General features: G+C 31.0%; 1 protein-coding gene across 10 annotated transcripts in view; it reads right to left on the bottom strand.

The window, feature by feature from the left end:
• The window catches only part of ATRNL1 (attractin like 1), an 855,635-nt gene that overhangs the window by 476,588 nt on the left and 364,828 nt on the right, over nucleotides 1–14,219 (bottom strand). For 9 of the 10 annotated variants that reach the window (NM_207303.4, XM_011539587.2, XM_011539588.3 and 6 more), the window contains 3 exons: nucleotides 10,377–10,471; nucleotides 5,160–5,238; nucleotides 3,083–3,240 (listed from right to left, as the gene is read on the bottom strand). In NM_207303.4, coding sequence (NP_997186.1) covers nucleotides 3,083–3,240; nucleotides 5,160–5,238; nucleotides 10,377–10,471 — 332 coding nt within the window. Of the gene's footprint in view, nucleotides 1–3,082; nucleotides 3,241–5,159; nucleotides 5,239–10,376; nucleotides 10,472–14,219 lie in introns of those variants that run through there. The other variant, XM_047424988.1, reaches the window with a different exon arrangement.

The following is a 14,219-nucleotide window of genomic DNA, read 5'->3' as shown; positions in this document are numbered from 1 at the left end:
ATACAATTGCTTTCAAAATTCCAATTACATTTTTCACAGATATAGAAAAAAAAATTTTTAAATTCAAAAGGAACCACAAAAGACTGCAAATAGTCAAAGAAATTTTATAAAAGAAGAACAAAGCTGGAGGCATCATACTTACTGATTTCAAACTATATTATGAATCTATAGTAATCAAAACAGGAAGTTGCTGGCATAAAAATACACTAATACCAATGGAGCAGAATAGAGAGGCTAGAAATAAACCCATAGACAGCGTCAACTGATCTTTGACTCAGTGCCAGGAATAAATAGTAAAGGAAACACAGTCTCTTCAATAAATGGTATTGGTAACACTGGGATATCAATATGCAGAAGATGAAATTGGATTCTTACTTTATACCATACACAAAAATCAACTCAAAATGGATTAAAGATGTAAATATAAGACCTGTAATTATAAAAATCCTAAACAGAATAAAGGGACTAAGCTCCTTGACATTGGCTTTATCAATGATTTTTTTGGATATAATACCAAAAGTTCAGGCAACAAAAGCAAAAATAAACAAGTGGGACTGCATCAAACTAAAAAAAGCTTCCTGGCACAGCAAAGGAAACAATCAACAAACTGAAAAGGCAACCTACAGAATAGAAAATAAATTTGCAAATGATCTATTCAATAAGAAGTTAATATCCAAAATATGTAAGGAACTCATGAAACGCAATAGCAAGAAAACAAAAACTCAATGGAAACAATGGGCAAAGGACCTGATTATACATTTCTCCACAGAAGACACACAAATGACCAATAGGTATATGAAATGGTGCTCAGCATTGCTAATCATCAAATAAATGCAAATCAAAACCACAATAAGATATCACCTCATAGCTGTTATGATGGCCATTATCAAAAATACAAAAGATAACAAGTGTTAGAATGGATGTGGAGCAAGGGAAATTCTTACACACAATTGGTGGAATGTAAACTGGTATAGCCATCATGTAAAGCCGTATGAAGATTCCCCCAAAAATTAAAAATAAAACTACCAATGATCCAGCAATCCCACCACTGGGGATATATTCAAAGCAAGTGAAATCAGTATCTCAGAGATACAGCTGCACTCTCACATTCTTTACAACGTTATTTCCAATAGCCAAGATACAGAAGCAAGCTGTGTCCATGGATAGATGAAAGCATAAAGAAATCGTGATTTATATCTATATGTTTCATATTCATAATATGTATATATTTATATACGTACATACACACACATAACAATGGAATATTATTAAGCCTTTAAAAAGCAGGAAATCTTGCTATTTGTGACAACATAGAAGAAACTGAAGGACATGATGCTAAATAAACAAGTCAGTCACAAAAAGACAAATATTGCATGATATCACTTATAGGTGGAATCTAAAAAACTTATGAACTTATTGAAAGGGAATACAATGATGGCTGCCAGTATTTAAAATCATAATTAAAATAATTTTACTGTGTTTTGTATAATATTATAATTTAAAGTTTATTCTAGTCTTATAAATAAACACATATATTAATACTTCCATGCTTTAATATAACATATTCCATAGGCATAATGAGTTTAATAAAGAGGAGAAATTAGGCCTACGTATCTTGTCCATCTCAATTATTTTCCACACTGTATTATTTTGAGAGTGGAGTATTTCAACCTCGTTACACAAATTTTGATTTTGCTTCCAAAAGAGTAAGTTCTCAAAAAAACCCAATTTAGAAAGTTAATTCCTAACCATTAAGTATTCAAAAACATTCTAAAATAACTATGTAATTTTTTTTCAAAAGTATATAAACAAGAAATAAGGATAGGAAGCAATTTAAAATATAATCATATCAATTTTAATAACTAATTACTAAGTGCTATAGATGAACCCTTTTCCCTTTCAATCATAATTGAATAAATGAAGTGAAATTTGATAAATATTTCTCTATGAATCTTAGGAAATAAAGTTACACATCCTTAATGTTAAAATTTTAAAAACAAATATTTATGGCATTTTTCTGACAGTACCAGCATCTAAATCAATCACTATACAATGAAGAAGTAAATTTCTCAAATTAATTCTCAAAAGTGAACTGAATAGTAATTTATCCTCATATTTCCTGAACAGTTGAATAATTTCCATAATTTAAGTGTTACATCAACCTTAAAAATAAGAAGAAAAATTTTTTCCAGTAAACATATGATTTTAAAAATCACTCATTCTTTCCACAAATCACATAGAAATTAATATAAATAAAACCTGCAAACATTTCTAGTTACAGAGCATATGCTATAATTTACTAATATATAGGGAAGGGATGATCTGAAAATCTTTAAAAGATTTTAAAACATAAAAGCCATGAACAAGGATTGATATATATAAGCTATTCGAATAACTAATGTAAATTCAATCTAATCAATCAGTTGTAAAGGAATGAACAAATCCCAGCATCCCAATAGATAGGCTTTTCTTTCAGGAAAACATAAATTAAGAACACAAACCTTGACTATAAGATAGAAAGAATATTCCAATTCTTTCCTAGAAGTAAATCTGACGTCTTAAGTAGACTACCTCTAACTATAACAAAAATGAAATGTAAAACACACATGTAGTACAGATTAGGAAATTAATGATGAGAGGTAATTACTTAAAGAGGTAACTGAAATACTGCTAACTCAAAATCTTTAATGAAAGATCAGATTATTTTCAGAATGTGCTAAAGTAAAAATAAGACTACTCAAACGGAAAATAATTTCAAGTGGGGTTATATGAGAACAGTATTTATTTAACCCTCAGTTAAAGTATATAATTAATCAGAAAACCAAAACATTTCAGTTGGCTACATTGCTTAGTACATAATAATCACTGAAAAATTTAAGTATAGAGTTTGTTGGTTCCATGAGGGTTTTTACAGAGAAATTCATCATCACAGACATTCGCAGACCTTTATTTATCAAAGGTCAATGCATGTTTTTGTATTAGTCAAGTCAGGAAATGTACATATATCATCACTTTGGACAAAAGCACCATTCTTTTCTTAATGATATTATGGTCATTAGAAGTAAATACTCTTAACACTTACCTGTATTTTAATAGGCCAGGAAAAGTTGCTGACGTACACATAGAATGTAATGTTAGGATTGCTTCTAAAGTTAAATTTTTCATAGGAAAAACTATCTCTGTATTCCTTTATATTATTCTTGGAAACTATAGAAGTCTCTTCCCCAGATATTGTTCCAGCTAAAATGTAAATAATTTAAATAATTAATATTAGGAAATATCTTTATGAATTTAAAAATGCATATTATAGTTTTTTATAATTGCTCTTATAAAAATAATTATCAAAATATACTGTTTATAATTTTGAATGAAGGAAAATAAGTTTGCCATAAATATAATGGAAATAAATTTAGTATAAAAATTATTTTTAAAAATGCTACCACTGATTAAGTGCTATGTACTAGGCACTAGCTTAGAGACTTTATATTCTTTTTTAAAACCAATAATATCCCAGAAGTATTATCACCTCCATTTTTCAGATTTCAACCTAAGCCTCAGAAAGATTAAAGCATTTGCCCCAAGTTTATAGCTACTAAGCAGTTGGAACTCAGGTATATGTGGCTCTAGAAACTGAGCTCATTCTGTTTACAATGCCACAGAGCATTTAAAAAGAAATCAGACCATATTTTCGTGTGTCTCAATCCAATTAAAAAATGGGAAAAAATCAATTTATTTGTCTTACCACAAATTGAACCATCACTGCTTTAAATAAATTGGGTGGAGGCCACAATTTAAAACATGAGCTAAATGCTCAATTGGTTAAACACATAGAGTGCTGAATAAATATTTACTGAAGTTAATAAAATAGAACAAAGCATTTCCAACAATCTTAGCAATACTTTCACCTTAATCAATAGTAAAAATAATTAGAATTAGTATACTGCGTAATTGAATTTTTAACTAACCACTTATTCCATAATCACCTTGTGTACATTTATTAAATGCAGATTCCATGACTTCATCTCCAAATCTGATAAATAAAAATTTCTGAGATTTGGTCTGGGAATCTGAAAGAACACGTGATGTCTTGCATACTAAAATTATTGTTCTAAAGTGATTAGAAATGTATTATAGACATTTTTGTAGACACATTTTTAAACCCTTACAGTTTTCTTACTGGTCAGAAATAACTATCAAATTAACAGTACAAGTTATTACGAATTTTTCCTTAATGAAACCCATAGTGCCAACATTTTACTGTATGTTTGGCACTAATAGTAACAAAATGCCTATTTGCCTGAATTTTCATTTTTTGAATGTAATATATAAATTTGGGAATTGCAAAAGAGCTCTTAATTCTTGAATTCTATGTATCCATAATATTCTACATATTAAAATAGCATAATGATTTAATTTTCAGAAATCAAATATAAATTTCTAAGAATCCATAAATTTTCTATAAAAAAGAAACAATTTCCAGCACATTTATGCAACAGTATACCTTTGATACAGAAAATAGATACCAATAAAATTTTTAGAATAAAAGTAAAACTAAAATTAAAGTAAGAATACATTTCATAATTCAACATAAAAATCTGAACAGCTTCTCAGATATACTTTTTAAGTCAGTAATTTAAATTTATTAACCTTATTATGAAAGACATATTATGTATCAGTTTTTTAACTCCTCTGAGCACTGAAGCTGACAAGAGGGGTTATATTTTCTAAGCTTGACAATAATAGATGTTTACTGTAATCAGCATGTACAGAAGAATTTCATTGTTTTATATAAATATTAAGGTTAATAATTAAATTTATAGTTTTAATAGTGAATCAAATAATTGAAATTTCAGTCTCTTTAGTCATTAAAGAAGCAATTTATCTTAATTAAAATCACATTTTATAACACTGCCACTTAAAAATTTAATTTAGTGTATAATATTTGTTACCAATCTAATTTTAATTGAATAAAGGAGAAAGTTAACAAAATAATGAAGCTCTATTCATTTTTCTACTTATTATTTTTACCAGTAACAGCAAAATAATCCTGTCATATAACATTTTTAAAATTTCAAACATTTAATTAACAGTAGATCATGTTAGAACAACTTCCAGATAGGAACACATGTAAAAGAGATATGACATCAACATTTTTTTACCTGTTGAACCGACAGACCACGTAATGTTGAGATTAAAGTTGTTTGATGCATTAATTGATATATCCAGATTTTTGTTCGACTACCAGAAAAGAAAATATTAAGGTTAAAAAACGAAAATTACACTAGATATATATGATTTAGTCTACTGATTTAATTATGTCTGTTTTATTCCTTAAACTCTATAGATTTTGTAAATATTCAACTGAATATATGTAGATGCCATTTATACATTTTAATGAAGAAAATGTGTAATAAATTCAAAGGTAGATATCAAGTTCCTCATTTATCTTCTCTATTATAATTTGGTCTTTTGTATGTAAGCCAGAGGCTCCTGTAATTTAATATTTTTATTTGGATTCTCTTTGCTTAGCTGTAGACTAAACTTAGTTTAAATTTGATATTTGTATTTTGATTCTTTTTGCTAGGTTTAAATGAAACAGGTTTGGATTAGTCCCAAGCAATTTTATAACAATATAAGATTATTTTTTTAAAAGACTTCTTCTTAGGTGTACATTTTTATTATTAAACCCATATTTTCTAGTGGGAAAAATAACATAACCTAAAACTTTCAGGTAAAAATGATGAACCTACTCCAAAAAAACAGCAGATCACATTGTTTACACAGTTATAGAGAGGAACACTGAGAATTTAATTTTATGCCATTCAACCCGCTTCTTGTCATTCATTAGTGGAGTACAGACTCTTTACATTTAATTTCAGGGAAATATGACTAAGAGATTTCTTTAAATGTTTTTTGTGATTTTCTTACTCCAAGACGTAAGAAGCAGAAAGTAGGTATATTTACAACTATTTGTTCCTGTGGAAAGGCAAAGAATGATAGTCATAATGGGTAAGTTTAGCTTCAGATACTGAGTGTATTATGCTTTATTTTAAATATTCTCTACAAAGACTTGTAGAAAATTCTATACTGCTAAGATCTAGCTAGTGAAACGGAGTAAGAGAGATAGAGAATATATTAATTCCTTCGTTTTACTATTTTTCTAAATATGATAAAGCAGGTAAGCCAATAGAAAATATATTCCCAATTTTCTAAGTGGCTCTTAGGAGAAAGTAAATATGGAAGCAACTAAATTCCCCTTTTCTGATATAACAGTCTTAGGGGAAAACTGACAAGGAAAATGGCCTTTCCCTGATGAATAGCAGGAGAAATAAGGAACATCATAAAAAGCAAAGGCTGCTGGATGATGTGTGATGGCCATACCATTTGACAGACGTATAAGCCCCAATCTTATACCTCCAAATAACATCTACTCTTAATGATTTCCCTACATGGAAGAACAGCTTATTCTCTATGAAGAACTCTTAACAGTGTTCCATATCCATCAAATGATATTGTCACAGTTTCCAGGAGGCAAATAAGATTTCAAAAAGAATGATCATCTTGAAAGAGCATGTAAAATAAAATTTGTTATAATAAGGTTGAGTGATTGTCATGCATATTTTTAGAGTAGTACATAGTAATATTGTGGAGAAAGCATCTGAGAATTTGAAGTAGTCAAAGAAAAATAAAACCTTGGATTTTAAATACATAGAGTAAATCAGAAGGCTATTATATTATGCATCATAGTGATATTCATAAATGCCCATGAATATAAGAAGGAAGTTAACTTCCTTCTTATTTTCTATTGATTATCAATTAATACTGAATTCTATTGACAAGCTGTTAAGAACCCTTCTGCAGTACATGCCACAAAACTGTCAAACATATTGAGATTTTCCTATTTCTTTTAAGATATAAGTGAACACAGAGTGGGCATAAATTCAATGGAAGGCCAGAAAAATAACTGAGCAACTCTTTGACTGTAGCAATAAATGCAGAATACTTTTATGTCAGCATGCAGACAGGGACTATTCAATAGATTATGTTGTTCAGTTGTGGTATACAAAATATACTTCCAAATATACACAATGTAGTCCTAAGGAAAATCCAGATATCAAAGGTAGATATCTGGTAGCAAATGTTGATTTATGTCATCATAATAAAGTAACCAGACTTGAATCCAATAACAGTTTCATATACAGTAAATCATTTTCATGAAGCAATGAAAAGAATTAGTGAAGAGTCAGATAACCTTAGATTGAAATTTCAGGTCTTTAATGTACAGACTGATTGATTAGGGGGAAATTACTTTTCCTTTCCAAAAATCATTTTTCTAATCTCTAAAATGGGGATGTAATTACTTCCCTCAAGAAGCTCTTGTGAGCGTTAAATGAAATAATTTCTGGAAAAAAAACTTTGGTTTCAGCCCATAGTGCTTATAATTGTAGTGTTATCGTTATTAGGTATAGTGACAGGGTATATTCTTTTTCTTCTCTTTCTTCATCTTCATCTTCACCCAGAGGACTGGGAACTCAAAAAAAGGACATGCTCTGAGGAGTGGATTTTTTTACTATTAATGAAACGGATCCAAAAAGTCACTTTTTTATGAAAGTAAAGGATGGTGAAATCAGCGTACCCTTAAGGAGGCTTAAATCTTTATTTTCTTTTGAAATTGTCTCTTAATTACATGTACCTTATGCTGGATGAGATTAATATGAGCATAACTGTTGTCGCTAAAAGGTCACACAAAATTTCCAATTGATATTTAAAAAACCTATAAAACTCTTTTTGAATTTTTAGTTCATTCTCTATCAATTCCAAGTTTAGGCAATGCTGAATTATATGGTACCATAACTAAAGCCATATAAAAAGCATTTAGGATTTAAAAAGCTGTACTGAAAAAGTGACACTGTAGTTATTCCAGTAAGTGATAAAATCAGTGATTTAGAACATTGTTTGTTAGATATGGATAAGTTTGGCAAAATAATGTTATACAGAAACCTATTCAGAAATTGTTCACATGAAAGCACTGGCTAGAAGTGATGGATAGCGAGTTAAAATTAAATCTGTTTTTCAAAATGTAGGAAATGTATAAATAATTATCTACTTTTTATTATTATTTTCTTATAGAATAAGAAGCCTTGGCCAATAATACATAATAATTTCAGAGATTATTCCCAGGTGAATATATCTTTAATTAAAGAGGGTTACACAAAATGATATTATAAGAATTCTTAGCGATGCCTCTCATGACAGTTATGCATCGTTAAGCTTCACAGAACACTTTTCTGGTTTCTTGGCTTCAACTGGACAAGATAGTAGAAAGTAAAACAAAGCTGGGACATTGGAAAGCACTTGGGATTGCTGGAAATTGAAGGAGAAAATGGCAAAAAGACAAGCAAACTAGAATTGTGGCTAATCTGGACATAAGTATATGACACTATGGACAATACTGTGGAGGAATATTATTCACTCTCACATTTTGAGTCAGATATCTCTCTTACATCAAATTTCTTAGATCTTCAAAGAACCCCACAGGTTTGGAATTACTATTAATCAAGAAGCTAAAGGTAAAGAATGACCTCCGATACATGCTACAACATGGATGAACCTTGGAAACACTATGCTAAATGAAATAAGCCAGATAAAAAAGGACAAATGATTACATTTATATGAGGTACCTAGAGTAAGCCAATTAATACAGGCAGAGAGTAGAATAAAGATACCAGGGGCTGCAGAGAAGTGTGGAATGAGGCATTATTGTTTAATAATCACAGAGTTTCTGTTAGGGATAATGAAAATGTGGATGATGGTGATGATTGCACCACACTGTAAATATACTTAATGCCATTGAATTACATACCTAAAATTATTTAAATAAATGTTATTTTATGTCTATTTTACTACAATAAAAAGTCAATGGTAATTATAATGCAGGTATAAAAACTTTATCACATTGATAAATGTAGTTTCTGAGATTGTTAATATATCTATGTAGAAACAGATAATCAGTGAAGGACGGCTTGTATTTGAAACAAAATATCTTTAAAATCATTATTTAAAAGTCAAAACTTTAAATGTATTCCCCAAGAATACAGTCATTCATAAAGTCTAGGGAATAAAGAGTAACATAAAATGTAAAATGAACTGTTCTTTTTTTTGGTGATGGGGGAGACAGAATGCTATTTTACTGGAAAAGAAAAATTTAAGAAATTATATTAGTTGTCAGCAAGTCCAGTGAACTACGTTAAAAGGAAAGAAGTTGCAAAATGTCATAGTATTAATATATTTAGACATTTCACCTACTTGAAAAACCATTAAATATATGATATGGATTTAACATATCATTTAACAATATGGATGAATTCATAATAATAATATATATATTTAACATAACTTCATTTCAAATGTATGAGTGTTAGTTTTAAAAGAACTAAAATTCAACCCGAATAAACCCTATGGTTGATATTTCCATTCTCAGGATTTTCAAATTAATAAAGTCTCAGATGGATAGCAAAATATGTGTGTTATTTCGACACAACCTAAGAGTCTTTACCTGAATTGATGGATTGAAATTAAAATTCACAATGAATCTTTCATATATTTAAACTTCAAAAGCTTATACAATATATCAGTGATGTGGTAATTTCATTAAAGGAGCCATCATTCATATAACTCAGATAAACTACTGACTGAGAAAAAAGACAAATCATATTACTGTGGAATGGTATAAAGGAAAGTAAAATACATTTAATATAGTATGCTTTGAATTCATTAGTTTTATTTATTTATTTATTTTTTGAGATGGAGTCTCACTCTGTCGCCAGGCTGGAGTGCAGTGGCGTGATCTCGGCTCACTGCAACCTCCACCTCCTGGGTTCAAGCAAATCTCCTGCCTCAGCCTCCTCAGTAGCTGGGACTATAGGCGCGCACCATCATGCCTAGCTAATTTTTGTATTTTTAGTAGAGATGGGGATTCACCACATTGGCCAGGATGGTCTCGATCTCTGGGCATCATGATCTGCCCGCCTTGGCCTCCCAAAGTGCTGGGATTACAGGCATGAGCCACTGCGCCCGAACGAGTTTTATTTTTAAATAAGAACAGTCCGTGCTTGTATAATTATAGGCATAAATTTTGTCACAAGATATATAAGGTGACAAATTATATTTAATTTAAAATATAGGGCTATTTGCAAAATCTGAAATATCAAATTCACAAATTATTGAATCACGAAGAGAGAAAAAATTAATAGGATTAGTAGTTTCTACAAAGGCCCTACAATGTGATAATTCTGAGAAGAGGTAAAATCAAATGAAATATGAAAAAAAAATTGTGTCCAATAATTATACTTTAAAAGATAACAATTTTTCCTCACCTGTTCTGGGTTTGCTATAAAGTTTATGGCAGTATGGTGGCGATCATCTTCCTGTAATAAGCTGAAGGTAAATTGATAATCAATCAAAAGGCTGTCTGTAGGGAGGAAAAAAAGTACAATCCTGATATGTACTTTAAAAACTGTCTAAAAAGCAAAATTTAGGTTACAATATATTGTACACTGATATTAAAAATGATTATTGTTAAATACTAGTGGTATATTTAAGTATAACAAAATACAAATCTTTGTCCTCAATCAACAAAAAGCAAAACATAGTTATGGAAGAAGTACTAATTCCTTAAAAATTTTATTTATTATTTCTGATGCTATTACAAAGTTAAAACATTATAGACATTCTGGAAACTATACAAAAGTAAGTGAATAAAATAAAAATTATCTATAATTTTATAACTAGAAGGAAATACAGTTAACATTTTGGTGCATTTTATTCCAGTTAGAATTCTGTAGCTGTAAAGATAGACATTTTCATAAAACTTTGTAACTTTCACAAACTCAAAATTCTTTGAAAACATGAAGTTTGATAGCTAAATAATATTTCTCATATAATGTATTTATTTGTTTTTCCATTGTGTTCACTTCTACTTTTAGTAATTTTAAAATGATTCTATGATAAACATCATTTTACAGATATGACCTTTATTCACAATGATACAAGGAATTCTGGGAAAAGATATTTTTAATTTTGTCCATACATAATGCTGGAACCAAGGTGAAACATTTAAATGTCATAAGTCATGAGTGGCTATGCATATTACATGAAGGTGATGTATTGCTAATAACATTAAACTGCTACTTTTATAAAAATTATTTCCAATTATTTTAAATAAATATAGATTACTTCTGTCTTTTGGATACATACCTTTCATATTATACCCTTAACCATTAAAAATTATTAATATAGAACATACAGATTAAATTACATTAACTGAATTTATTTTTAAAACTATTAAGGCATTATTCGTATGCTTACTTGTATACTTTATAAGATTCAACCTATATATTTATTGTATAATTTAGTGTAAGGCAATATTTTGTATAAGAATTTATAGGTATCCTTATATCTGATAATGAGAATTATGCAGTAGGTCATAGTTCCAATTTTCATCTGACTGCCAAAAAATTGCAGAGGAAAATTCAATGTGCCAGTGTTCTAGGCCCTAGAGATACAATAAAAAAATAAAAATTTCTGTCCTCTTGCAAGTAATACTCTACTGAATGAACATCAGTCTTTTGGAGAAGAATAAACCAGTGAAGAGGAGGGAGATACTGTTAGGTAGGAGTATGCTTCCAGCTTTCAGAAGAAACATTTAGAGAATTGAGCTAGTAAGAGAATAAGCCATGGAGTTTACCAGAAAAAAATATTCCAGGCAGAGAGGACAAGTACAGAAACCTCAAAGCAAAAGCAAGCCTTAACTGTGATTCTCGTAAAGCCTGTGCCAGTAATACAGGCAAGGAGGTAATGGAGGCCAGGGTAACAGCAGTGAAGGCCACAGGAAGTGGTCAAATACAGGGAATGTATTTTGAAGGTACAGCAAACAGGATTAGCTATAAAAGAATGCAGCCTTTTTAAGAAAGAAAGGCAAAGTTTTATTTTTTTTTTTAATTTTTTCCTAAGACCAAGCAAAAATCACCATTAACTTAAATGGAGAATAGGTTTGACTGCGATGGAACTTGGGGAAATAATTAGGAGCTTAATTTTAAAGATATTAAGTTAGAGAAATTTATTGAATAGCCAGATGTTAAGTCAAGCTCAGGAGCATGCGTAGTAGATAACAATTTGTAAGTTATCAGAAATTACATAGGATTGAAAGCCAGGAAGGCAGGAAATTGTCTTCGTAGATAGACAAGAGGTCCAAGAGATTAGCCCTGAGGCAGACCAATGTTAAATAATCAGAGCCTGAAGAGAAACTGGCAAAGGAGACTGAGAAATGGCTACTCAGGAGAGAAAAAGAAACCCAGAATTTAGTGCTATAGACATCAAGTAAATACAATGTTTAAAAGACTGAGTAGTGATCACCTTGGACAAATGCAGCTGAGTGAGATTCAAAAGTTATCAGGGGACCTGCCCCGATAATCACTTAGGTTCTTTTCTATTTTCCTAAGCGTCGGCTGGCTTGAGAAATAAAGGGACAGAGTACAAAAGAGAGAAATTTTAAAGCTGGGTGTCTGGGGGAGACATCACACGTTGGTAGGATCCGTGATGCCCCATGAGCCACAAAAACCAGCAAGTTTTTATTAGGGAGTTTCAAAAGGGGAGGGAGTATACGAATAGGTGTGGGTGACAGACATCAAGTACTTAACAGCGTAATAGAATATCACAAGGCAAGTGGAGGCAGGGCGAGATCACAGGACCACAGGACCAAGGCGAAATTAAAATTGCTAATGAAGTTTTGGGCACCACTGTCATTGATAACATCTTATCAGGAGACAGGGTGAGATCAACCAGTCTGACCAAAATTTATTAGGTGGGAATTTCCTCTTCCTAATAAGCCTGGGAGCGCTATGGGAGACTGGAGTTTATTTCACCTCTGCAATCTCAACCATAAGAGACAGGTACGCCCCAGGAGGGCCAGTTCAGAGACCTACCCCTAGGTGCGCATTCTCTTTCTCAGGGACTTTCCATGCTGAGAAAAAGAATTCAGTGATATTTCTCCCATTTGCTTTTGAAAGAAGAGAAATATGGCTCTGTTCTGCCCGGCTAACTAGCGGTCAGAGTTTAAGGTTATCTCTCGTATTCCCTGAACAATTGCTGTTATTCTGTTCTTTTTTCAGGGTGCCCACATTTCATATTGCTCAAACACACATGCTGTACAATTTGTGTAGTTAACGCAATTATTACAGGGTCCTGAGATGATACACATCCTTCTCAGCTGACAGGATTAAGAGATTAAAGCAAAGACAAGCATAGGAAATCACAAGGGTATTGACTGGGGAAGTGATAAGTGTCCATGAAATCTTTACAATTTATGTTTAGAGATTGCAGTAAAGACAGGCATAAGAAATTACAAAAGTATTAATTTGGGGAACTAATAAATGTCCATTAAATCTTCACAATCCATATTCTTCTGCCATGGCTTCAGCCGGTCCCTCCATTTGGGGTCCCTGACTTCCCACAACAAAAAGTAGGGCTGCAGTCTTGAGAAAGAGAATATCTATTTAGAATGAAGAAAAAAATATCACGAAGGAAAAGCAAGCACTTCAAAACTATTTCCACAAATTTGTCTGCTCAAGCATCTTTCTTTTTTCAAGACTGCAACTAAGCATTAATAAGCCAGGAAATAAATGCCCTTTTGGAGGTAGGAACTGGGAGACTTCAGACCCTGGACAGTCCTGAGTAAAGGCTGTAATGCCCCAGACCTACAGACATTTTTCTGTCTATATGGACTCCAGCATCTGCCACAAATATGCCCAACCACATTCTTGGCCAGGCATTCAAGCATGATTTTCTCTCTTCTTATATTTAATAGAGTTGAAAATACTAGATCAGTATGAAGTATCTTGTGTATGGTAATGATCAATCCTAATGTCAATCAGGCTAAAAATACAAAGCTGAGATCTAGAACAAAATTAGTAGGAGTATTAATCAATTCAAGTGTCTAATAAGAATACCAATGAATGAATGTGCACTACTATAAAGAAAGAAAATTTAGACTTCTACACAAAATGTTTCCTTTTAAAGCTGCTTAGAATGAAAGTACTCCAGAAACCAACTGCACAATTTTCCACTTAACTAGGAGATATATTTCTCCTCAGAATTTCAAAAATCATGATGGTGTGTTTGGTTATGAATGGAAAATTTACCTGGCACTTAAACATGTAACT

Source organism: Homo sapiens, chromosome 10 (genome assembly GCF_000001405.40).
Source record: "Homo sapiens chromosome 10, GRCh38.p14 Primary Assembly".
Lineage (NCBI taxonomy): Eukaryota > Metazoa > Chordata > Mammalia > Primates > Hominidae > Homo > Homo sapiens.
This window is presented reverse-complemented; position numbering and strand designations above follow the sequence as displayed.